The sequence below is a fragment of the Homo sapiens genome, chromosome 4 (assembly GCF_000001405.40).
Source record: "Homo sapiens chromosome 4, GRCh38.p14 Primary Assembly".
In the NCBI taxonomy this organism is placed as follows: Eukaryota; Metazoa; Chordata; class Mammalia; order Primates; family Hominidae; genus Homo; species Homo sapiens.
This window is the reverse complement of record NC_000004.12, coordinates 111,822,185-111,850,139: the sequence shown is the minus strand read 5'-3', so window position 1 is coordinate 111,850,139 and position 27,955 is coordinate 111,822,185. Positions and strand designations below refer to the sequence as shown.

The 27,955-nt window shown below is 37.0% G+C and overlaps 2 long non-coding RNA genes across 6 annotated transcripts in view; one reads left to right on the top strand and one right to left on the bottom strand.

Annotated features, from left to right (window-relative positions):
- Positions 1-3,851, bottom strand: part of LOC105377369 (uncharacterized) — a 77,408-nt gene extending 73,557 nt beyond the window's left edge. Inside the window, exon 1 of one of the 2 annotated variants that reach the window (XR_939077.3) lies at positions 3,421-3,851. This is a non-coding gene — a long non-coding RNA (uncharacterized LOC105377369). Of the gene's footprint in view, positions 1-2,486; positions 2,576-3,420 lie in introns of those variants that run through there. The other variant, XR_939076.3, reaches the window with a different exon arrangement.
- Positions 1-27,955, top strand: part of LINC02945 (long intergenic non-protein coding RNA 2945) — a 308,805-nt gene that overhangs the window by 262,131 nt on the left and 18,719 nt on the right. For 3 of the 4 annotated variants that reach the window (NR_186682.1, NR_186681.1, NR_186680.1), the window contains 2 exons: positions 21,090-21,213; positions 22,935-23,977. The exons of the other annotated variant lie outside the window; for it this stretch is intronic. This is a non-coding gene — a long non-coding RNA (long intergenic non-protein coding RNA 2945). Of the gene's footprint in view, positions 1-21,089; positions 21,214-22,934; positions 23,978-27,955 lie in introns of those variants that run through there. 4 annotated transcript variants of the gene reach the window in all.

Below are 27,955 nucleotides of genomic sequence, written 5' to 3'. Positions count from 1 at the left end.
ACAGCCGGGAGTGAGCTTATAAGCAGATCCTCTTTCAGTTGAGCCTGCAGAGAGCTGCAGCCTGCCTGACAACTTCATTGCAGTCTTGTTACAGACTGAGTCAGAGGATCCAGCCAGTTAAGCCACTCTCCTATTTCTGATCCACAGAACTGTGAGATAATAAATGTTTATTGTTTTAAGCCCCTAAGTTTGGGAGTAATTTCTTATGTAGCAATAAATCATTAATACAACCTAAATAGTCTTTGAGCACTTCTATTTTTTTCTAGTGCAACAAGATTTCTCAAATTCAGTTTGTATTTTCCCAGACTCAAACATGAAATAAATATTTTTTTAAGTTCCTGTGGTTTCTTTCAGTGAAGAATGGTGGTTAGAATACAAGACCTGGGCACAAGATGTGCTCATTGCTACAGAGATATCATCATTTCTATATTCATTAGAAATTAGAGCTAGAAAACCATACAACAAAATGGTGAGCTCACACTGAAATTTCCAACTTATATTTAATATTTCATGGTTCTTCCTGAGTTTATTTTATTGGTATATCTTTTATCTCTTATAGAAAAAATGTTGGTTCCTTAACAGCAGAGGGTTAACATTACAAAGAAGTGGAGTAGCAGGTATCATAATGTGGGCAATGATGGTATGTTCTCTGGCTTTCTGGAACATCCATCTTCATTTCTACCACTTAAGATTTATTTGTTTGATCCTGAAGGGCTTTTTGAATGTTAGAATTTTCTTATCCAAAAAAATTTTTTTGTATTATTTTCCAACCTAAAAAATGATCCAGAAACAATAAAATAAAAACATTGGAAATAAATATAGAAAAATATAAAAGAAAATAACTCTGAGTGGTGAACTTGTGGATATGTTTTGTTTATTTTAATAAGAAATAAATATTGAGTCCCTAATATATGCCATTTACTAAGAAGGCACTGAAGGCTCAAAGTTTCTGGCTGGAAGAATTTATATTTTGGAGAGAGAGTTATATAAACATGCCAATATATTTGGTAGGTGATATCATAAAGAGATACACAGCACTTTCTGAGGTTAAATGCTGCCTAAAAATAGATATTATTTTAGTAATACAAACATAATAATTCATTAAGGGAACAAAAAATAAATCTAGGCGGTGAGAGGGGCAAGAGGAAATACAAATGGTAGGAAAATGTTCTTCCTTGAATTGGGGAAGATGTCAAAGGCAAGCTAGTTTATTTCACAATTTTTATCCAATTCTTATTAATTTTAACATGAAAATTTCTCCAATAAAGCGTTGCCTTTTAACCTGTCTGCTTCAAATTAAACTAGATTTCCGTTCTGCATTTTGGTGAATGATAGCATACATGTTTCTGGTCAACTGTAATGTTGTTAAGGAATGTGAAGGAAAATATTGAACAATCTATTCATTTTGTGATTTCCTTAGATGGTTAAGTTCTTCATTTGTTTATATCTCCTTCTAAAAAATTATTGTTATTTAAAAATTTTTTTACATGTGTGCTTTAGCTAAGCTTACAGATGAAGCCTTTTACAAATTTGTACAACCGTAATTTATGATCAAGCTCCCGAGGAGCAGGAGTCAGGGCCTTAGAGCATTAGTCTGTTCAGTATAGTTTATAGAACCCTTTGGGGAAAAGAAAAGGAGAGGGCAGGGACACGAAGGAAAGGCGAATCAAGTGGCATTTACATTTTTCGTTGTTTTGTTATTGGCACTTTTGTTTAAGCTTATTCATATCAGTTTTCTTTTTTAAAATTTATTTTTCATCATTCATACTGGTTTAATTTATGATAATCCTGATGGAGGCAAAAAAGCATGCTATAGAATTGCTTTGATAGAACATAAATAAAAAGTTGACATTTTAAGTCTGTTTGGTAGTCAATATGCACAATTGCAAAACTTTCATTAGTGTCATAGAAATTAATTCTAGGGAAGTGCAGTATATTTACAGCTGGTAGCTCCCCATACTTTGTGGAGTTCTTGCTAGGCAATGGCACATCAGGCTTTGCAGAAGTCAGCCACGTACGACTGGATGAGAGAAAGTTACTGAGGATGGATTCTCATGGGCCATTTACTTCATAAAGGACTTTAATAAAAAAAGTTTAAGAAAAAATTTACTAAGCTCTTTCCCTCCGTTTTAGTTCCATTTCTAGCTCAATCACTGGAGCAATGTCACAGCTTTTAGAGAACATATTCCTGATTTGCAAAGCTGAAATGCGAACCAACAATTTCCATCTACTGGTCACTCTAGGCACTACAGACGCAAAGAATAATAAGACAAAACCCCTGCTTTCAAGCAATTCTCAACCTGAGCCCATCTGGGTCATTACCACAGACACAGACATCTGCTGTAGGAATGTTTTATAGGGCAGTGTCAACCAGTGAGGGCCATGGGATATCACCGGAAAATATCCATTTAGGAGACTACCTTATGGGCTATTTGGCCTCTTTTGTTCTTTGTAACACTTGAAACAAAATGAATTTATGTACTTACTGTCTTGTCATTGTGTGATAGATAACAGTGAAGCAAAGGCCACGAGGAACTAGCCTAGTTCCAAAGCCTTGTAAACAACAATCAATTTCATGTAGGTGTCCACACAAAGTGGTTGTGAGTCATGGTTAAGTGATTGTGACATGTCTGAAAGGCAAACTTATGTCACAGGAAAGAAGAGCTCTCTGGATAGATGGTTCCCTACAGTTTTGTAAAGACATCTGGAAACTTTGATCTGGGAGACACCACATCACAGAGAAATTGTTATCGTCTGAGAGCACACTGGTGATAAAAACCTTTAAACACATATCTTAACTAAATCTTATATGTGCTCAAATTGCCACCTGTTTTGTTATAATTGGAGTTAATAGCCTGCCAGACACAAGGATAAGTGGATGTTCTAGCAGGAAAATGCATGCTTCCTCTCTGATATTTGATTTTGTTTCCAATATTCACTGAAAGTATTGTATTAATAAATTTCACTGAGGATTTTTATGTAATTCCATTGTCCTTGCATAGGATTATAGTAATAATGGAGGTCAAAAAGAAGGCATTTAAGAAAGTTGTAAGGAAATGTACTCATTTACTTGACATAGGATACAGCATTCCCCATGGTCTGGCTCCTAAGTCTCCAGGCCAAATTTTTGTTGTGTCCCAATGTACATTTTTTTTTATTCATCCAAACCAACCAGGTGGTGCCAGTTCTCTAAAGGTCTCATTCCTCCTGATTGCTATACGTGCTGTAACCTCACTGCATGTCTCTTGTGTGCTTCTTAGTAAAGCCTGCAACAGCTAACATAACATTTCCAGAAAGAAAATTATATTACTATTGGCCAAGTTCATCTCATGAGAGGCCAACATTTCTCTTTTTTTCTCTGGTTCTGTTTCTTTTCTCTTCTCTTCTTTGCCTGCACTTCTCTGGACTTTTTGGACTTACCTTGCCTGTGATCATTGGGTTCTCTGAGAAGCAAATATAGAGACTGAGTAGGAGTGCAAGAGTGAAGAACGCAGAAATGGGTGGGGAAATCATCAGATTGCGATGCCATCTGATGGAGCCCAACAGGGAGGTCAGGAGCCATGACTGCTCTCCAGAGGAGTACACATTGGGTGGAAATAGCCGGCCCTGTGAATCACTGTTCAGTCATTGGCTAGCTCCTGCTCCCGGAAAAGAGTGACTTCTGGAAGTTGTCAGTCTCACAATTCACTCCTTGCAGCTGTGCAGCTTGTCTTTTCTTGAAGAATCTCTCTCTGCTACATCCCGCCCCCAGGATCTAAATTCCATGCCTGAGACACAGCAGAATCCTCAACACTTCCCATTTCTAGTTCTATCAGGGTGGTATTTCCCCCCTCTATGTATCAGGAAGGGGCCTTAGATTTTCAGAGTTCTCAGAGTTGAGATAATAAAAATAAATAATCCCTACTCCAGCTGATTTTAACAACCCCTCATAACATGACTTTGTTTCCCTATTTTAAAAGCTCTATCTCTTTACTGTGCCTCCTCTGTCTCTAACCTACTTTGAGAAGAAAAGAAAGAGTGAGGGGGGAGAAGAGAAGAACGAGTCAGATCAGATGTTAACTTCTCCTCGGAAATTTTTCCAGTCATGCACCCTCCTTCCTCTGGGGTGAATTCATGTAAAAAAAAAACTTCTATTAAGTTCAGGGGTACATGTGCAGGTTTGTTACATAGGTAAACTTGTGTCATGGTGGTTTGTTGTACAGATTATTTCATCACCCAGGTATGCAACCTAGTACCCATTAGTTATTTTTCCTGATCCTCTTCTTGCTCCCACCCTCCACCCTCTGATAGACCCCAGTGAGTGTTGTCCCCTTCTATGTGTCCATGTGTTCTCATCATTTAGGTCCCACTTATAAGTAGAACATGTGGAATTTTGGTTTTTGTTTTTGTATTAGTTTGCTGAGAATAATAGCCTCCAGCCCTGCAAAGGACATGATCTCATTCTTTTTTATGGCTGCATAGTATTCCATGGTGTATACATACCACATCAGTTTATCACTGATGGGCATTTAGGTTGATTCCATGTCTTCGCTGTTGAATTAAACTGTTTTTTGACTGTGCTTCCACCTGAGTGTCTCAGTTATAGCATTTAGCAGTTTCTATTCTAGTAGTCGACTTCCTTGTCTGTGTCTTTGCTAGACTGTGTGCTTCTCAGGTGCAGGAAAATTCATTGCCCTTCTGCCTGTCTCTAACAGTCTTGCAATAGATACTTCAGATCTGAACTCTGTGCTGTGACAGCAGTGCCAGGCTCATTGTGATATAAAGCTATATTTTAAGTGTTTTCAAGAGATATTTCCAAACTATTAAAAAATATAGTCAGTGCTCAAAGAGTACTTTTAAAAACTTTTAATAATACATGTGCATTACAAAATTTAGAAAATATTGAGCCATTTTTAGGAGAAAGTACAACTTTTGTAATTGTACTACCTAAATATAATTAAGGTAGTTAATTACATTGTTTTATTTTCTTTGTGTTTTTTAATGTGGTTTAGAATTTGTCTGAGTTGAAATATATGAATACATATACTTTTCCACCTAATGTTACATTAAAACATTTGCGTGTTAATCACATGCAAATTCTTCAAAAATTATTTGTTTAATTATTTTTCTATTATTCAAAGTTAGGTTGTATCCAATATTTGTTTTTATTTACAACCTATTATGAAATTCTTTCAATATACATCTTTATTCTTATTTCTGCCTATTTCCTTTGGGTTAAATAGCAATATATTTGTTAATTTTTGTTCATGTTGTCTGATTATTTTCCAGAAAGTTTATACCAGTTTATCTTTCCCACCAGGTGTGTGTGAGAGACTTTTCTCAATACACTCATGGCAGCACTAAATATTATCTTTTAAAAAAGGACAACTTAGAAAACATCGTATTGTCTGTTTTAACTGGTATCTCTATTTATTAATAACTTGAATATTTTATTTCATATCTTATTAACAATTTATATGCCATCTTCTGTGAATTTTGTATTCATGTCTATTTTCAGTCTAAGTTTTAGTGTCTCCTTTATGAGTTTGAGTAAGTTTTTAATATAGAAAATATTATTAAATATCAGTCAGCATGGATATAAATAATATTCTCAGTTTGAATTGTCTTACAATTTTCTGCAGAGGCTTTGCTCTTCAGAGATCTTCAAATTTTACATAGGTAAGTTTAGAATTTCCTAATGAGGAATTTCATTTTTTTCCCAGTTTAGAAAGCTCTTATCCATTCTGATAATTCTGAGATCAGTTAAACAGTTGCCAATTTACATTTGTTTTCTGCTTTTATTTTTTTATTAAATTTATTTTCATGGATGGCATTATAAAATTGCAACCCAACTTAATCTGTTCCTCAAAAGTATAATTTCCTCAGAACATTTGGATAATTCATCTGCATGCATTAGTTTGTAATGATTCATTCATGTATATATGTATATATATTTTATTTATATATTATTATTTATATAAATTACATATAATTAATATATAATATAGTTTAATTATAATTTAATATATTATATATTAATTATATATAATTCATATATAATATGTATTTATTTATATATTTTATTAATGTATATATATTTATATTATATATGCATATATGTATATATAACATAAATATATTTTATACAAATATATTTATATTATATATATACATATATACAAATATATACACATTTATATATAAAATGGTTTCATTTAGTTTTTTGGCCTTAAGATGGTCTCTATTGTTCTGTTGATTTGTTTGTCCATTCTTGAAACAATATTTACAAATGTTTTATGATTGTTTGAAAAGAAGACATATTTCCTGTTAGTGGAAGACATAGATATATATGCATCTATACATTCAATATTTGTTTCAGGTCAATCCAAACACCTTCAGAAGTCAAGACATTGACATGAAAGTGCTCAACAGCCAGATGTCATTCAATAAAGAGGGGTGTAAATGAAGTAACAGGAAGAGCACATATTTGGCCTGAAGACACAAATCCAAAAAATTTTTTAAAAATGACTATACGAGCCGGGCACGGTGGCTCACGCCTATAATCCTAGCACTTTGGGAGGCCGAGGTGGGTGGATCACGAGGTCAGGAATTCAAGACCATCCTGACCAGCATGGTGAAACCCTGTCTCTACTAAAAATACAAAAATTAGCTGGGCGTGGTGGCGTGTGCCTGTAATTCCAGCTACTCAGGGGGCTGAGGTAGGAGAATCCCTTGAACCTGGGAGGTAGAGGTTGCAGTGAGTGGAGATCAAGCCACTGCACTCCAGCCTGGGCAACAGAACAAGACTCCTTCACAAACAAACAAACAAACAAACAAACAAACAAACAAACAGATTATATGGATATACCTCCTCAAACTTAGCTGTGTTGACTGAGTGAATTTGGCCTATTACTTCTTCGTTTGCATCCTCCAATATGCCTACTTATATTGGAGGGGGGGGTTTATTTAAAAAAATAAAACAATTGTAACTCTTTTAGTTTTCTGAGGGAGGGCAAGAATGATGTTATTCATTTTATTGGGAAAAGAGATTGGTGTAGGTGGGAGAGAAGAAAGGCTGAACTTTCAAAGTTTCTATCAGTTCTTCTGTGTTCAACTCAAAGTGTTGAGCCATTTGCTTATCAAAACATATAATCCAAGCTTTGGACTTGTAGAGAGCTAATACTGCGCAAATACATAGTGAGGTTTGAGAGTGGCAATTTGAGTGGAGGGAGAGATTAGAGACCTTGTCTTTGTTGAAAAGTAAAACGATGAAAAGTAAAGTTTGCAATAATATGTATTTAAGTTTAAATAATATTTTAAAAATAAGTAGCCTGCAATTAGAGGGAAACAATTTTTGAGTTTAAAAAAAACCTACAGGACTGTAAGTACAAGGAAAGTGAATGAAAAAAGATAAACCAGTTAGTACCAACTTGTGTTTATTGTAGAAAACAAATATTTGGTTCTTTGCATTACTGCAACAGTATATAACATCTTTTGCACAGACTTGGAAGTAAATCAGCTAACATTGGATTTATCATCAAGGAATGATTGCATAAGTGACACATGAGAAATAGCCTAAGATGCCAAACCACTTACCATATGCTACGGTTTGAATGATGGTGTCCTCCCCCAAATTCATGTTGAAACTTAATTCCCATGGTAGTATTAAGAGGTGGAACCTGTGGGTTGGTGATTAAGTCATGAGGTCTCTGCCCTCGTGAATGTGATTAGGTGTTCTTATAAAAGGGGGCGAGTTTGGCCCTTTTTACCCTTTTGCTGTTGGCCATGTGAGGACCAACAAGGAGTACTTCCCCAGATTCCAAATGTCAGTGCCTTGATCTTGAACTTACATCCTCCAAAACTCTGAGAAGCACACTTCTATCTTTTTATAAATTACCCAGTCTTAGGTATTTTGTTATAGCAGCACACATGAACTAAGACACTACAATGACCATTATACAAAGACATGCCAATGAAAGGATCTGGAAGTACCGGCTTGATCTGCCATGCCAGAGAGCTGAGGCCCAGGCTAGGGTGAAGCACTAACAGGTACCCTTGGCAAGAGTTTACCTCTTGCAGTGCCTTTCACAGGAGATGTCACCATCAACAGACTGTCAGGATTAGCTAGAAGAGCAGCATAAGCCAGTATCAACCCATAGGGAGCCATGTCATATTAGACTTCCCTGAGGGAGCACTGACAGGGAACTGGGAGGAGAGAAGAAAAGAAACAAAGGAAGCAAGTTTTGTTTGAGTTTCTGTTTTGCGTAAATCCAAATAAGCTGTGTTTTTAAAGAAGTGGATCTCAACTGTGTGGAATATAAACATGAAATTTTTTACGTTTCTCTAATCACTGCTTTCGATATTTATCAAATCCTCTATTTCTTTCTTTTAAGGACCTTGTAGACAGATTTAGGACCTTTGAACACTCTTAGATTTAAAAACTCAACGCAATCAAGTTTAAAGTTCCCCTTTCATTCTTGCTCTAAAGCGTTCCCATGTCACGTCATGACTTAATGCCATATTTCAAGGGTTTTTGAGTGGGGAGATTAACTTGGCCTGTTCTTGTGCTCCCTCACTTTTACCCCTCATCCAGACTCTAACTTCTGTGTTTGGGGACAACAGTAAGAAAGAAAGTGCCAGAGTGCCAATCTGCTTTACCCAGGGGTATTTGTGCTTCTTCCTTTGTTGGCTCATGCAGGTTTATGTTGCTCTTCTGCTAATAATCTTGACAGGCTTCTCCTGATGGCATCTTTGTGTGCAGGCATTGAAAGAGTTGTTCTTATGGTAGGTGTATGTGAGTTTTTTGCCTTGTCCTGTGAGAATTTCCTATGGCTCAGTTTTGTTGCAAGGAGCATCTTCTTTGGCACAAGTACTTGTAATTCCTTCTACTCAGCTCCTATCCACAGAGGTGGATCCCACAGCTTCCCCCTGCTGGAGCCCCTTTGCCTGGAGGATGAGGAACTGGCAAAAAGGACTCAAGACTAGCTCCTTTTCTGGTGTCCTTGGACCTATAAGAAACTCACACACCGTTACCATTGCAAATGTTAACTTGGCTGCTGCACTGTCTTCCTCTTTCTTAGTGTGCCATCATCTCTCTTTAATTCATAGGGAATGGTCAGCAAGTCCTAGCAGATAGATAGTATAGTCTTTCTCCAAATGCAAGGCAGTCGCTCATCTTGAAGGCAGTAAGAAATTATATTCAGTAATTGTCAAATCCCATTCAGTAATCGTGAAATCCCTTCCTGCCACCTTGGCTTAAGGGCTGGGTAGTACCTTTTTCCATGAACACTATAGTCCACACAAGCCCAGTGACTATAGCAACTCTTCCCTCTCTCCCTCCAGTCTTCTCCTTATATAGCTGGTTGGGATGGGCAGGGATGGGCACAGGCTGGGGGTTGCTTTTCACTAGATCATGTGAGAGATATTGATCCCTAGTGCCTCACTTTAGAATGTGGTATAATAGGCTGGGCGTGGTGGCTCACACCTATAATCCCAGCATTTTGGGAGGCTAAGGTGGGCGGATCACCTGAGGTCAGGAGTTCGAGACCAGCTTGGCCAACATGGTGAAACCCCGTCTCTACTAAAAATACAAAAGTTAGCTGGGTGTGGTGGCAGGTGCCTGTAATCCCACCTGTTTGGGAGGCTGAGGCAGTAGAATTGCTTGAAACTGAGACGCGGAGGTTACAGTGAGCTGAGATCATGCCATTGCACTCCAGCTCTTGTTGTTGGGCAACAAGAGCGAAACTCCGTCTCCAAAAAAAAAAAAAAAAAAGGAAGAATGTGGTATAATAGTGTTTCTTTGTTCTCAGGATTGAACTCTGGTCAGTTCAGTGTAATTAACGATTTTAAGTTACTAAATTATACAGTTTCATATCCGTGTTGCCTCAACTGTTTTAATCAATGTTGTTACATGGACTAGAATAGGCAGAGTGTCATGTTCCTGTGGTCTCTGTGGATCCGAGTGATGGAGTCATCTTTTGCTTAGAGTCTTCTCCCTCTTCTTATCACTGCCTTGGAGGGTTTAGCTGGCTCGTGTGGCAGGAACATGAGTTAACAGACTTGAATCTTCATTTGCACATTAAACACAGTTTTCTTAGGATTTAGGCAGTGTTGTGCTGGTAAGCAGGCTCCTCAAACAAACAGCTCACTAAAAACCGCAAAAAAAACCTCAATCCCAAACCTAGCCAAAACAAAAAATCACTGATATTCGGAGTGTTTGCCAGCTTCTATGTTGTAAATACTTTCAATATGAGGATTTCAACCTACTGATGTGAAGTTACTGCATGGAGAGTAGGGAAGAGATATTATAATCCACTCTTATGAGCAACTATGAGCTGGCTGCAGTGCACTATTGAGTATATATTTATTTTGCATGACTCTATGGAGTCTGAGTGAAATTATGGTGATATTGTAGCCCCCCAATATGTTTCACCCATGCTACCTGTTGGAGTTATCTCTAATATTTAAAAAAATAAGCAAAATTTATTTTCTGAGATGATGCAGAATGGGGTAGACCTGAAAAACAGAGAAATAGGGAAATGTTAGGACAGAATTCTTAAGGCAAGCAGGAAGCAGGTAACAAGGCAAGAAGCTAGATTTACTAGGAATTTGAGGGAGAAATTTGTTGCAGTGTGGTAGCCAAAGCCTAAAGACTTCTGAAAATAGTCTGCCTGTGTGTGCTTATAAGCAGTTTGCTTGTCAGGGCTGTCATCCCACTCTACTGCCCCAAACTTTCAGTTAACTTGACTATAAACAAAAAAGGCCTTTGTGAGCTGTTGTTAGCTAGATGAAGAAAAGGGTCTGTGTCCCGCATCTGGGTCTATGCGGAATGTATAAAGGGGAATGAGACAGGAGGCAAGAACTAATGAGATTCAGAGGGCAGGGACAAGGCTGGAGGGAATCTCAAGAATGAAAGACATGGAGATTCCCAGAAGTTTTGGGGAGGCCATTGAACCTTTGCCAGACAAGTAATGGGGGCATTTGCCAATTTTATTTTTGACAGAAAGATGACTTTAGCTGCCATCTGGATGTTATTTATTCTACTGTTAAAAATAATTATGGCCTTATTTTTGTTTGATCTGCCAAAGGTTGAGATCTATTACTATAATTGTCTTTCTGCCATTTACACATATACTTAACAGTTTTGTTTTATACAAATTTATGCTATACTACTTGAGGCATCCAAATTCATGGCTATTAGACCTTTTTTTGTGGATTATCAAGGCAAAATCTCTCTTTGCTCACCCAAGAATGTGGTGTGCTTTGTATTTGTTTAGATCCTATTTTGTATCTAACAGGCAGTTTGAAAGTATTTCTTATAGATATTACATATTTTTTTTCTTAAACTTATTCTTAGGTGTGACAGAGACTGCTAGTTGTCTCCCAGTATCATTTCCCCTTTTCTTTCCCGATAGTGGAAGCTCTGAATCTTAGCTGGCGTATGACCACTCAGAACAAAGGCTACATTTCACAGCCTCTCTTGCAGTTAAGCCTGGCCATATGACTGAGTTTTAGACAGTGGGATATGAGTGGAAGTGGTATGTGCAATTTTGAGGAGTGTTTTCCAAGCGAGGGGCATGCTCTTCTCTTTCTTCTTTCTTGTAGTAAGAATGGGACACCAGGGCCAGAGCAGAAAGCTGGAGGGAGCCTGGCACCCCTGGGATATGTAAAACATCTATTCCTGTCTTGGATTGGACCACGGGACATTTCACATGAAACAATAACCACTGTGTGACTAAGCCACTGTTTATTTGTTGTTGTTGTATGAAGCTGGACCTAATGCTAAATTACATACTAAGTATTTTTTTTAAATCTCTTTTATTGATATTTTAAATGAAGTATTTTTCCCCTTTATATCTTCCAGCTGGCTATAATTGCTACATATGAAATATGTTGTTAGGCAATTTTGTCGTTGTGAGAATGCCATAGTGTACTTATACACACCTGGACAGTATAGTCTACTATACACTTGGGCTACACAGTATAGCCTATTCCTCCTAGGCTACAAATCTATACAGCATGTTACTGTACTAAATATAGGCAATTAATTATAACACAATGATAAGTATTTGTGAATCTAAACATAAAAATGGTTTAGTAAAAGTATGATATAAAAGATTAAAAATGGTATACCTGGAGAGGTTACTTACTACGAATGGAGCTTGCAGGAATGGAAGTTATTGCAGGTGAGTCAGTGAGTGAGTGGTGAGGGAATGTGAAGGCCTAGGGCATTACTGTACACTACTGTAGACTTTATCAACACTGTGCCCTTCGGCTGTACTAAACCTATAAAAAATATTCTTCTTTCTTCAATAATAAATTAACCCTAGTTTACTGTAACTTTTTAACTTTATAAACTTTTCATTTTTTTAATGTTTTGATTCCTTTGTAGTAAGACTTAAAACACAAACACAGGTACAGCTGAACAAAAAATATTTTCCTTCTTTATATCATTTTCTATAAACTTTTTTTGTATTTGAAAATGTTTACTTTTATTTTTATTTTTTACTTTTTAAGCTCTTTTGTTAATAACCAAGACACAAACACATACACTAGCCTAGGCCTACGCAGGGCCAGGATCATCAATATCACCATCTCCACCTCCACATCTTGTCCCACTGGAAGGTCTTCAGGGGTAATAACACACATGGAGCTGTCATCTCCTGTGATAACAGTGCCTTCTTCTGGATACCTCCTGAAGGACCTGCCTGTTTTACAGTTAAATTTCTTTTTAGTAAGTAGAAAGAGTATACTCTAAAATAATGATAAAGGTGTAGTAAATATATAAACCAGTAACATTGTTGCTTATTATCAAGAATTATATACTGTAGATAATTGTATGTGTTACACTTTTATACAACTGGTAGCACAATAGGTTTGTTTATACCAACATCACCGCAGACACATGAGTAATACGTTGTGCTGTGACATTAGGACATCTATGATGTCACCAGGCGAAAGGAATTTTTCAGCTACGTTATTTTTTGGGAAGTCCATGGTTGAATGAAGCATCATTATGGGGTGCATGATTGTACTTGGATAACAAAAAAGTAAAGAAGGAAGAGTTCTTACATATTGGGAGAGCCATCAACTGTCTGGTGATCTAATGAGGCCAAAGCACCGTTGTAGGAGTAGCTGAATAAGCAAGTGGGAAGGAGAAGCAGTATGGTGAGAAAGCAGGAAACCACCTGGAGTGTTTTTGGAGGTGGAGCATTTGTGGTTGTAGCTAAGACTGAGGTATCAATCTAGTTGCGGGTGGTTGAGTTGCATGTGGAAGTAAAGGTGACTTGGAACCAGCAGGCCAAGGAACTGAGAAGGATGGGTTAGTGATGGGACACTGCAGTCCTTCCGACAGATGGCAGGGTTTAACATGGAGAGGAAGACTGTGGGCCAGATGGCAAAGGCTGTGATTACTGTAACAGGAAAGCAGTGGAGAGTGTGGCAAAATTGCATGCGTTTCTCAGAGTGAGTTTTATGTGACAGGGTGGGGAGTAACAATGATCTGGAGCAAAGATACAGTCCTAAGAGTTCTGAATCCATGAAGAGACAATGAATAGATAACATTTTTCTTCTTGTATTTTTTCAGGTAGGAAAATATTTTTTATAAGTTAGATTTTTTTGTTAGACTTTACAGATGATAAGTTAGATTAACCTTATCATTTATAGAAATTTCTTCAAAATTCTGGAAATATTATTTCTATCATATAAACACATTTCAAATGGGAAATCGTGAGAGTCTAATTCATGCAGCTGCCAACTCACTGCCATTTCAAATGGTAAGTTTAGGTAAAATCTTTATATCAGTATGTTATATAAATGTCAATGGCATGCCATTTTTAGTTTGTGCAAATTTAAGATTTTATAATATTCTCCTTCAGCATTAATGACTTGAGACAAAGTGGTGCTAATGTAATTAGACAATTTAATTATAAAAATCCAAACCAGTTTTTTTTGTTTGTTTGTTTGTTTTTGAGACGAAGTCTTGCTCTTGTCGCCCAGGCTGGAGTGCAATAGCATGATCTCAGCTCACTGCAACCTCTGCTTCCCAAGTTCAAACGATTGTCCTGCCTCAGTCTCCTGAGTAGCTGAGATTACAGGCCAGCACCACCACGCTGGCTAATTTTTGTATTTTTAGTAGAGATGGGGTTTCGCCATGTTGGCCAGCCTGGTCTCGAACTCCTGACCTCGTGATCCACCTGCTTCAGCTGCCCAAAGTGCTGGGATTACAGGCATGAGCCACCCGCACCCAGACACCAGTTTTTAATAAAAAGACAAATCTGGTTTTTCAAAATGACTAATGTGTTAATTTCAGTGCTAGTTTAAGAGTGAAATTATCAGCCTTGCAAAGTTTTCCATCACAGCTGTTTTCCTTTATTTGATTCTATTTTTGCCTGTTATGCCTTAAAAAAACAAGGAACAGAAAATTCTAAGACAGATGGCTACTATATATTTTATAGTTTATTTTAAAAGTACAACCCACAACATCTGACATAATCTGGAACCAGTGTTCAGAAAATAATTTTGACTTGATGTTTGGTGTATACCCAATTGGAAATAATAAAGGTATAAATGGAGTCTAGACAAACACTAAGGCGAGCATTGTGCTTTTGTGGCAGCATTTGAAGAGTTTTCTAAGGTTTTATTTTACTTTTTAGTTAAGTTCTTCCCTTGTATCAATACTCTATTATATTTCAACTTAGTCTTTGTGCTTGCATTTGTTTTCTTTCCACCAGACATCTACATTTGTCCCCATTTTCTCATGAGATCATACTTTATTTTATAGGTCTAGCAATACTACAAGGCCAAGATTCCTGTTATTTCCGAATAAGATATAATGCATTAAAATTTGACATGTGTGCCTTCTTAAGATAATCAGCGAATATATTAAAATATTTAAATACACACCTGCTTCAAAGGTTAAATATTAATAAAATACATGTTTTTACTAGGATTATCATGAAAAATGCAGATATATCCAGACATTCCATAGGCCATCATTTTAATATTTTAAGGTTTAAACCTTTCTATTGATGTTCTAGAAAATGTGGAGACCTTGCAAATAAAAGAAGGGCTGAGTTGCTCATTATTCTTAGAAAAAGTAGCAATGCTAAAAGGAAGAAATTTAGTTAGAATTTTAGCAAATATGTATGTGTGTTAAATTAACATCGTTCACCTAGCAAATATATATATCACATATTATGTGTATATGTTTTCATATTTTAAATTGTTTTTAGAGAATATGTATTGAATTCTTACTATATTTCAGATACTACTTAGGCATCAGATGTCAACAAAGCAGACAAAATTCCATACAAGTGAGAGAGATAATAAATAAATGTACAAATAACTTAATTTTAGAAAAAGGTAAAATTCAGGCAAAGACAGACAATAAGCAAATAAATAAATGTATAAATAGTGTACTTTTAGAAAATCACAAATACTGAGCCAAAGAAATAGTATAGTAGTAAAATAGAGGATGACTAATAGGGAGGGTTGGGAACACATTAGATGTATTATTTCTTCATTTCAAAATTATAAAATGAAATCTGTGATGTTTCCTGCATAAAATTTTAGAAAAACTTTAAAGATCTTTTATCTCTGTGATATAAAAATACTAGTACATTTCATTTTTTTCTCCTCTAATTGTTATTATTTGTAGTCTTTACCTAGAATTTTACATTTGTAACTTATACACTGATTTTTCTTAGGTACCCATCTTGAATTGCTTGGTAAGGGGCAGCCAAATCCATATTCACCATTTGATGCATGAGAGGGTATATTCTGTTCTCACGCTGCTAATGAAGACATACTCAAGACTGGGTACTTTACAAAAGAAAGAGGTTTAATTGACTTGCAGTCTCACATTGGTGGGGAGGCCTCACAATCACGGTGGAAGGTCAAGGAGGAGCAAAGTCATGTCTTACACGGCAGCAGGCAACAGAGTGTGTGCAGGGGAACTGCCCTTTATAAAACCATCAGATCTTGTGAGACTTATTCACTATCATGAGAGCGGCATAGGAAAGAATCGCCCCCATGATTTAATTACCTCCCACCAGGTCCCTTCCATGATACATGGAAATTATGGAAGCTATAATTCAAGTTGAGATTTGGGTGGGGACACAGCCTAACCATATCAAAGGGTATAAAGAAAATATAACTAAAGTTGAATTTTCAGGTATGTAGAAAATAGTATGGTACATAGACCTGTATGAGACTTGGATTTTAAATTCCCCCTTTTATTTATCAATTTTCATTAAAAATAAATACTTGCGTCTCAGTAGCCTCATCAGCAAAATAAAGACAGAAGGCTTTCTAACTTTGAAGAATGATTGTTGTATAGTAAAATCTATTCAGGAAGTTCTAGTAATTTTGATTCTGTGAATCAAAATTAATAATTCATGCTGTAGATAATAATACCTTCTGTATTGAGACTTCAAAATTTGCAAGTACCACTGTAGCAAATACTATTTTTTTATTTTTGGTCTGGAAGAAATACTGAATTATTTTAATGAAACTTTTTCTTGTTTCTTTATAGATCACATAGTGAACTTGTTTATGTATTGTTTCTAAACTACCATAAAATTTATTTTTTCACTCTTGCTATTTCCAAACTTTTATTTTCTGGCAAAGAACCATCACCTTCAGCTTTCTTCACTTTTTAAATTAGTACTAGCCTTTTTTTTTTCCCAGAGGGGCTGCATTTCCCAAAGAAATAAACTGCTCTAGTGACACTATAAGCAAAATAAATGAAAAGGAAAAAGGACAAGACGGTGTCCTCTTAGTGATTCCATCTTTCATCCAGTGACCCTCCTTTACAATGCTCACAAACCATCCACTGATGGCTTGTTTCACAAACTTCACCAGGATCAATACCAAGCTTGGTAGCCTTCAATTCGTGTTTCTTCTTCTTCTTCTTCTTTTTTTTTTTTAGATAAGGCTTTTCTTCATCTCTAGCATTCACTGATAGAGGTATTACAGTCTTATTTGCAAGTTATTTAAGCATCCCGGGTTGTAATACACTGGGGTCAAGAGCCTAGGAAACAACTAGTCCAGCCAAGTACTTCCCGATGCAGGGTCACCTTCATTGTTGAAAGTGGGCATATTCCACAGAACAGGGATGTGTTTATCCTCTGAGTGTTGTTCTAAGCTAAATTCGTCACTCTCTTAGGCCTATATCCCATATATGTATTCAATCGAATTGAAAATAGCTCTTCTATTGCAGGATAAAAAAAGTGTGAATACAATTGTATTTTAACCATCCCCTAGGCTGTGATCTTTGCTAATGCCAATTGCTATGGAACCCAAAGACCTGGAAACCAAGTAGTACAGAAATGATATCTACTAATTCGACATTCATGAAGCTTCTTTCGTTTACTATCTTAGTGAATACACTAAGGAGTATAAATGAAGGACACTTCTGAGCTGAGGCAGCTCTGAACTATAAATGTGATCTTTTGCAAAACCGTTGATAACCCCATCCTACCTCAAATTCACGATCTAATGGAGTTTCATCACATTCAGCACAATCCACAAAATTATTATTTTTTTACTTTGAAAGGTTGTACTGTGGAAAATATGATGCAAACCCTTTTTGTTGATCTCTTATATTACCACATAGGACAGAATGTAGCTTGCTTGTTTACTACCTTTTCATAGGGTTAACATTTTTCTAATCTTTTAGTAAAGTTAGTTGATTCAATTTACCACACTAATATAAATAAATCAAGAATCTGTCCACCACCAAGAGGGAGGACATTAATAAATTATTTATGATTAAAATTACCATCAGTGAAGTAAAGTCATCTCTCTCTTTACCAAAATGCCATTGCTTTCATCCTCTCCTTGAGGTAATGCAGTGGCCTTTTTCAATGATTGATTTGGGCCATTAATGACAAGCCCAAGTAGGTTTTAGTTCATCCATCTTCCTTTAGCCCAGACAAAAATGCTACTACAAATAAACATCATGTCTGAATGATTTTTGACAGAAAGAACAACAGAAAGCCTCCTGGCCCATTATATACTTGTCTCTTCCTCTGTGATAGAGCTCCAAGAAAGGCCTCTGAGCCCATGAATTTGGAATGTCCTAAAAATGTAACTGTGAGATAATTTTTTAGGGGTGCTAACTTGACACTTTGTAATGTTGGTATAGTTTTAGGAGTGCCTAGGGCTATCTTGGGTATTAGTGAAGAATGACATAGAAACACAAACCTTAAATATAAACAGTACACACAGGTGCCTGAGTGTATTTCTGCAAGGTGTCCCTGAATGTTGACTTGCAAAATGACAAAAATCAGAAAAATTGTGCTGAAGGGATAATTTCTGATCACAGTGCTGTTTTCAAGTCTTCCTCATCCTGGCTGTGATTCTTGAAGAAAGCTATTGACAAATACATGGTAAACACATCTGATAGAAACAACTTAAGCATGTCTTGAAAATAAGCCTGTATGACAGATGCACCTGAATGTGTATGTTCCAAGCTAGGGAACCTGGCAGTGGCCAACCTGGCAATTCATTCCTTTTCTGTGAGGAACATCTGAGCCCCGACTTGTCCTGTGGAATACTGGTCACATGGGACATGAAGGCCTTGAGTTTTGTGTTGAATGAAGGTTGTCAGGTGGAGGTTGATAGGGAAAGGGTGTTCAGTGAAAATGCTATGTAAACTGCGTGCCTTTGCAAGTGGTTGTGGCTCTCCTGTTCAGCCTGCTGCAACTGGACTCTCTCCCCTCTATGTAAGCCACCAGTAAAACTCCATGTCTTTTTCACTGGCTCTGGGTCTCTTCTTCAGCCTCTTAAACCTGGTACCATATCCATTGGAGTGGATAGGGGTTTGGCACGACAGCAAAACGTAATTTTTTTTTTAGTTTATATTTTAAAGAAGATGTGGCTGTAAGTGGCAGCTGAGTTGGCATTAGATTCACAGTCAGATTCTCCTGAGCACATTGCACTGAACGCTCCATTTCTCTGCTTTTCCTTTAATTCTCTTGGTGATTCTGTTCTTATCTCTGTGGGAAGATATTAACTATCCCCCACTAGTAATTTCTGAGCTTCTGAAAGCAAAAACACCCAAAGCAGATTTTTGAGTAATTTGAGAAGCTCCCTCATGAGAGTGGAAATCCAGTGACTTTATTAGCATGACTAAAATTGTTAGAACAATTCTGTGCAATCTGCTGTACTTCTGTGAGGTAAACATTTTTTTCCCTCCTAATCCTCTTATTCTTATTGTATAAAGGAATAACAATTTTTCTTTTTAAGTTGAATCAATTTGTTCTTAGTCATATAAAGTTGGAACCAAAGTTGAAGTTTGGCTAGAAATTGCAAGATGTCTCTAACCTGTGAAAAGTCAATGGTGACGCTCTTGGTACATTTGAATGTCATGAAACTACTACAAAGAAAGACTGGTTTCTGGATTCATTTTTGGTGCAACATTTATTAAGCTCTTTCTCTGTTATCACCCCCTGCCTGGCATTTTCTGAAGTCTCCAAAAAGAGGCCACTACTAGGAAGTATGAGTCTTGAATTGCTTGTCATACAATATAACATCCTGCTGATATAGACAAGGGCTTTGAAAATGCAGTAAATAATTATTATTAAAAATCCCAAAGGAAAAAAATCAGTTCTGAACTGTCATCATACATTAAGTATACACTGACAAGCAATGCAGCTACCTTAGAAATTACATAAATATAAGACTGTTATATTACCTTTAATTCAGCCTTTTACTTCCCCCACTTAAAAGAATCAGTCTGAGGAAATGGAATCAGTATTTATTGGTATCTTTATTAATTGATTCTTAGAAGGGTGATTGACCACTAAAGTTCTCCTATCTTGTCTCCTCCTGAGAAAATGGATAGGAAATTTTACAAAGAACAGGCTATACAGTCATTAAAAATTGTTTCTCCAGCCAGGACAGGAAAACTTTCCTGTCTCCCAACCTTCAATTTTTCCTTGTAGAGTGATTGTCATCCACTGTCATTGCTCTAGCTTGATCCCTTTCTGTGTTTTCTCTGGACTTTCATGAGAAGATTCTAAATGGCTCACTGACTTCAGTTCACCTTCATTTCACTTCACGCCGTTCTGCCAGGATGTCTCCCTAAAGGATAACTCCATCCAGGTCACTCTGTTGCTCAATATCTATTACCCAGAGAATCTAAGGCAAACATCGTAACCTGACTCACAGAGCCTTCTATGATCCAGGCCTATCAGATTGTGATAAATGGTTAATTGTCTTTTCAAGTATATGACATTTCTGCCTAAATATTGGAAATTGTTCAGCTACAATCATATCACTTACTTCCACCACTGTGTATTATTTTATTAGATCAGTTATGTCTTTCTGGGATATATATACTGGTAAATGTAAAAAAAAGTCATTATTTAACTTTTTCAAAATATATCAAAGCCTTGGGCATGAAACTGCATCAACTAGATCCTGGCACAGTTGATCCATATAGCCAGCAATTCTACTCCATAGGTATGTGTCTGACAAAGTCAAACACTTACATCAACCAAAAGAGACATATAAGAATATTCAAAAAAAAAAAAGAATATTCAAAGCAGTGTTATTTGTAATAGTTTAATGCCAAGATAATTTCACAGCTACCGATAGAATTCATAGATCCTAAGTTGCTCATAATTTTCAAGACTTTCAATAGTAAATGTCTACTAATGGTAAAATAGAAATAGACATATCTTGATTATATTTATAAAATGAATTACTATACTGTGATAAAATGGCTAAATTATTGCACATGCAACAGCATGATTGCATTTTATAAGTATGGCATTGAGTGAAAGAAGCCAGAAATTTTTAAAAATATGTTTTCATTTATATAAATTTCAAAAATAGGAAGTGGTGGTAGAAGTCAAGATTGGTGGGTACATTCTGAGGTAGTGAGAGTAATGATTGGCAGGTAGCAAGAAGGTTGCTTCTGGGTTGCTTGTGGTAATTTTCTAATTTTTGCCCTAGGTGATGGTTGCATGGGTTTGTTCATTTTATAATAAGTCTTTGTACTGTTCATTTATATATACTTTTCTAAATCAAGACTATTTTTTAAACCAAATGTTTTGTTGACAAAAACTATTAATTAAAAATGTCCTGATTTCTATCTCTAGGAATCATGTTTTTCCCGGGATGTCAAAGATAAACTGGAGTTTCAATCTTGCTATCTTAACAAGAACAGAGGGAGAACAAAGAATAAAACAAGAAAATAAAGCTGACTATATTAAAAGAACAGAGGTATGTCCTTAAGAGAAAACCTCCATCCTCAAAGACTTAAGAGAAAGTAAAGAGTGGAAAACAGGATATCAAAATGCAGTACAAATTGCAAACAGTGGGAATAAAAGAAATATATCCAGGATTAAGCTCTCTTAAAGAGGGGCCAAGAAAAATCACAAGATGGGTATATATTTGAGTTGTTATTGATCAGAAACTATGACTTTTTCCCAGATAAATTTATCAGAGGAATAGGATGAAGATCATGGAGAGCAAACTGGAATGACTTTCCAGATAGTAAGATCCAGGAGATTAATAGTAAGATCCAGGAGATTAACGTAAAATGGTCCCTTAAATCTGCCGATACCTTTCCTAGACCCTGTATTCTCCATAAAACTAGTTATGCTATATTAAACATAGAAAGATTGTATCATAAGACTGTATGGTTATTGATTTGGGAGAAGGTCAATATAAGATTCTGAAAGAATATCCAAATGAGTTCAACAGTACGGCAGATGACTCTGCAGGCTGTGTCTTTGGGAACATAACTAAAAATTGTGAAATTCAAGGGAATGTGCAGCAGTGATGAGGCTTATCAGTCAGAAACCTGGTAGAATAAGAATAGATGCAGTTGGAATAGATCTTGGTTGGATGAAAGAATGAGCCTGAATGAAATTATCTGACTCTGAAATGATGGCAGATAAAAATTATATGAACAACAGATGCTTTGGGAAGACAGTGATCATTGATTTCATAATTGCTACAATATGGGATTTCACAAGATGAAATCTAAATTATTAAATTAGGAAAACACAACGTGTTCACCAGAATACAAAGGAAGGTAGGATAGAGGGTTTTTAAAACTAACAAGTAGCATTGGCCTTACTTGTGGAAGGCCACAAAAGAGTCAACAAAGAAGTTGGAACTGTTATCAACTCAGTTGAAAAGTATGACAGTGGTTTTTCAATGGTGGCTGCACATTAGAATCAGCTGGAGAATTAAAAAAAATACTGAGACCTGGGCCTCTCCACAAACCAATTTTACTGGAATATATGGTGGTGAGGTCCTGGCAATAGCCTCTTTGCAGTGCTCTCCAGGTGATTCTAATGTCTATCAGGTGGAGAATCTCTAGAGTAAGAGATCAGGAGAGAATAATACTTAAGGCTATTCTTAGTGGCAAGTGAAAAACAGTTCCCTCCTCACAAGGCACTAGGGGTCACAAACTTCAGAGCCATTAGTAAATATTCAGTAGAATCTTCAGATAAACGTTCTTCTAAGGCTGCTTTCCCAGCTGAAAAAAATATACAGATATATTGGAGATGGGTGGATGGATAGATCGGATATATGCCTATGGGTTTCATAGGCATATATGGGAAGCTGACAACACAGGCCCAGAGGGTAATTAAAAGGTTCTAAAAAAGCTAGATTTGGGCAAAGGGTGAAGGCTTTTCAAATAAGGCATGCTGTCTGGGTTTACTACCAATGTAACGTTCTATGCAAGAACACAAGACTTTCCAATGCTACAATCTGAGAAAGGTGCCAAAATCTTAAGAGAGAATTGTCTCTTAGAAATAAACCCATTAGGTTGGTGCAAATGTAATTGTGGTTTTTGCATTGTTGGAATTTGCTGTTTGATATTGGAGTACATTCTTAAATAAATGTGGTTATATTATACATCATTTTAATGGGCATTTCTCACTTTATTTTTTTTTTGCTTATGACTTATTACTTGCTGTTTATTTTAGACTATGGAAATGATGTTAGACAAAAAACAAATTCCAGCAATTTTCTTATTTGAGTTCAAAATGGGTCATAAAGCAGTGAAGACAACTTGCCACATCAACAACACATTTGGCTCAGGAACTGCTAACAAATGTACAGTGCAGTGGTGGTTCAAATTTTGCAAAGGAGACAAGAGCCTTGAAGATGAGGAGCATAGTGGCTGGCCATCAGAAGTTGACAAAGACCAAATGAAAGCAATTATCGAAGCTGATTCTCTTACAACTACTCAAGAAGTTGCCGAAGAACTCAATGTCGATCTTTCTACAGTAGTTTGGCATTTGAAGCAAACAGGAAAGGTGAAACAGCTGGATAACTGGGTGCCTCATGAGTTGAGCGAAAATAAAAAAAATCGTCGTTTTAAAGTGTCATCTTCTCTTACTCTACACAACAACAAACGAACCATTTTTTGATCGGATTGTGATGTGCGACAAAAAGTGGATTTTATATGACAACTGGCGATGACCAGCTCAGTGGTTGGACCGAGAAGATCCAAAGCACTTCCCAAACTCAAACTTGGTGACTGTTTGGTGGTCTGCTGCCGGTCTGATCCACTACATCTTTCTGAATCCTGGTGAAATAATTACATCTGAGAAATATGCTCAGCAAATCTATGAGGTGCACCAAATACCGCAATGCCTGCAACCAGCACTGGCCAACAGAACGGGCTCAATTCTTCTCCACGACAACTCAGGACCACACGTCGCACAACCAATGCTTCAAAAGTTGAACGACTTGGGCTACAAAATTTTGCCTCATCCACCATATTCACATGATCTCTTGCCAACTGACTACCACTTCTTCAAGTATCTCGACAATTTTTGTTTGTTTGTTTTGCAGGGAAAACCTTCTACAACCAGCAGGATGCAGAAAATGCTTTCTAAGAGTTTGTCAAATCCCGAAGCACAGATTTTTATGCTACAGGAATAAACAAACTTATTTCTCATTGGCAAAAATGTGTTAATTTTAATGGTTCCGATTGTGATTAATAAAGATGTATTTGAGCCTAGTTATAATGATTTAAAATTCATGGTCTAAAACCGCAATTACTTTTGCACCAACATAATAATTAGCCTCTATTAGCCGGGCATGGTGGCGCATGCTTGTAATCCCAGCTACTCTGGAGGCTGAGGCAGGAGAATTGCTTGAATTCAGGAAGCAGAGGTTGCAGGGAGCTGAGATCATGCCACTGCACTCCAGCCTGGGTGACAGAGGGAGACTACATCTCAAAGCAAAAACAAAAACAAAAACATAATAATTAGCCTCTAAAAGGGAAGTTTCTTGCAATTGAAGTTAAGTTCATAGGTTTTGGATTTTAATAACGGGCAGAATAGACTGACATCTGGCTGTGGCTGAAACTAAGGAGCTTGGGGTATTGTAGATATAACAGCCTCTACTTGGGAAGAGTCCCTCAGTGGGTAGCTGGCCCAGTTTGTCTTAGAGCAGGAAAGTAAAATGAACATTCAGAGATGGAGTTGAGGATAGAGAAGCTGTTGCTGATAATAAACAGAAGTTTTAGAGGACACATAAGAAAATGTCATGTTTCTTAACAGATAAACTATTGGCAATTTAAGTGAGATCATTTTTACAGTGCAGAAGCTCTCCAGGATAAGGGAGGACATTTAATATCTCTGATTCCTGCACCAAAATGCCAGTACAACCACAAATGGGACCCACTGGGAGAATCAGTTAGGACTGAGGGCTTCAATCAGATTAGAGGGTCTACATAGCTTAGAGGATAAGATCTGGGAATGAAAACTGCCTAAAAATATATGGGGTGGCTTGCACTCCCATTGATGGGATTATGTTAACTAGGGACATAGTGCATGTTGGCATTAGCTTTAATGGTCTTGTAAGAAGAGTAAATGGTCGGATCTAATGATATTCTCCTTTAGGGGGTGGTTTCTTAAGCAATTTGCATTGGTGAAGCAGGGTGTTTTATGTGGTAGGAGAAAAGTGGTCTCACTGGGACCACATGTTAGTCCGTTCTCATGCTGCTGTAAGGACATACCTGAGACTGGGTAATTTATAAAGGAAAAGGTTTAATTGACTCACAGTCCCACAGGGCTGAGGAGCCCTCAGGAAATTTACAATCATGGCAGAAGGGGAAGCAAACAATGATAGGGGAAACAAAGAGAGGGAAAAGCTCCTTATAAAACCATGAGATCGCTTAAAAACTCACTATCAGGAGAACAACATGGAGGTAACCACCCCAATAATTTACCTCCCACCGGATCCCTACCATGGCAACTGGAGATTATGGGAACTACAGTTCAAGATGAGATTTGGGTGGACACATAGACAAACCATACCAGACCATGTGGCATTCCTGAGTTCCCTATCACTGTGTGGGCAGTGCTGAGGCAATGGAACAAGGTCGTATGTGGAACACTTGGAGCTTTATGGTTTCTTGGCCAAACAAGCCTTCCGTAGATGATTTCAAGTCTAGGAATATGCCTTAGATTCTGTATGAGGGAGTTGAAACTAGTGGTACCAGGAGGAAATCTAAGCCTAATTTCTTATACCAACCAATTAAGTAGAAAACCGTATGACTATACTCATGATTGCCACAAAGACATTCGATAAAACCCAAACAATTATTTGTTATGTAAAACTCTAACTGAAAGGAAGAGAAGGACAAGTTTATTTATCTGCACCAGGAAGTGAGAAAATAAATGGTACAATGTTAAGCTATTTCCATAAAAATTAGAAAAAAATTGTGGAATATCCACTTTTACCCTTTTATAAAACATTTTAGAGGTATTAACTAATGCAATAAAAAATAAAACAATGTAAACATTGGATAGATTTGTATCTTTTAGATGACAAAAACCCAAAAGGATTTTCCTTAAAACTCCTAAATTTAATATGAAAAATTGGAATATTGGCTGAATTTTAAAAATCAGCTTGTAAAAATCTATAGAAATTCTTGAATTAGAAAAAAATAATTTAGGCTGGGAACAGTGGCTCATGCCTATAATCCCAGCATTTGTGAAGCCTGGGGAGAGGATCATTTGAGTTCAGGAATTTGAGACCAGCCTAGGCAACATAGTAAGTCCCCATCTGTACAAAAAATTTAAAAATTAGGCATGGTGGCATGTGCCTGTAGTCCCAGCTACTTGGGAGGCTGAGGTGGGAGGATCACTTGAGTCTGGCAAATTGAGACTGCAGTGAGCTGTGACTGTATCGTTGCACTCCACCTTCGCTGAGAGAATGAGACCCTGTCTCAGAAAAGAGAAAAAAGCTATTTAAAAATGGAAGCAGAAAAATATCTCATTTGAAGTAGTGATAAAATTAATTTGATAAGATATTTTCTATACAAAAACAACAAATTATTGGAGGACATTATAGAAAGTCTAAACAAATATACAGGCATAATATCTTTCCCAGGGAAGAGACTTAATATTGTAAAAATATTACATTTCATAAATATATTATGTCAATTAGTATTCTAGTGGAATAGAATTTTTATTTATTGGAATGTGATAAAGTCAGATTTCATATTGAAGTATTAGCTGAGAATAGGTATGCCAATTTGAAAAAGTGTAGAGTCCTTGATTTACCAGGTATTAACTATCACCATAACTCCATAATTCAACTGGTTGTTCAGTCTAATTTTGCAGCCAGCATCCCCCAAATTTTAGCAACCAAACACAGGTCATACTCATGTAACTGGTGGTAGAAGCGGGAGACCTTTTCTAGCAGTCACTCAGTGATATGCTATATCAACCAGGAGACAGAAACCACATCAGTTATTGGAATAGGGAAAATGTAATATAAAGATTTATTAAGCGGGGGATTAACGACTAAGGTGTGGAGAAAATTCTAAAGAATAGAAGAATAGAAGAATTGGGGAGCAGTCACTCCTTATAGGGCTGAGGCAGAGTAGCCAAGGAAAGAATAGACTTGAAGACCCAACCCCACTCAAGACTGACAATTGGAGCTCTTTGGAATGTGTCCCTTGGAAGTGGAAAAGTTTGCTGCCACTGGCTGGGGCTGATAGGCAGAAAACTGATCACTGTGGTGCTAGCAAGACTCTCTCAGAAGCTGCCTGCTGGTGTGTCTAGGGAAGTTGCTGGAGGGTGAATGCTACCAGGTGCCACGTGCTCCAAGAATCAACAGGAAGGGCCGGGCACAGTGGCTCACACCTGTAATCTCAGCACTTTGGGAGGCTGAGGTGGGCAGGTCACTTGAGTTCAGGTGTTCCTGACCAGCCTGGGCAACATGGCAAAACACTCTCTCTACAAAAAAAAAATACAAAAATTATCCAGTGTGGTGACACGCACCTGTAGCCCCAGCTACTTGGGAGGCTAAGGTGGGAGGAACACTTGAGCCTGGGAGGTTGAGGATGCAGTGAGCCATGATTGTGCCACTGCACTTCAGCTTGGGGGACAGAGTGAGCCATTGTCTCCAATCAATCAATCAATCAAATGATTCAAAAGGAAAAATCACCTCAGAAGGAGGAAGAGAAGTCCCTTCCCCTTAAAGTGTCCCTCTAACACCTTCCACTCACTAAGGTTAATCTGATGTTTAATCTTGTGCCACCTGACGAAGGAGAAATGTTTACAGGCTCTAGCTCCAGTGTAATGAAGCAGGGGAAAGTAGGCAGATTTAAGCTAAGAAGCAATACCTTGATAAAGTGGCACAGCTGTGTTCCTTCTGTCTTGGGGCTCTTCCTTCTGAAAGTTTTCCTATTCATTAAGTTTATGGCAAAAAGATGGAGAAACCTCACTTTTCCTAAACTTCCGTGGAAAGTAGACACTAATCATGTGGCCTTCCCTAAATGCAAGAGGGATAAGAAGTGTCTTCTAGTGATATACTCAGGAAAAAGAGGAGCACACAGATATTGATGAATAATAGTCATCTCTACCACACACTATAATCAAAGCTGTGTTACTGGCCCAGGAAAAGATAATCAGATCAGGCAAATAGAATAAAGCATAGACCAATATATATTAAATAGACCAATTTTGAGATTAAAGATAAA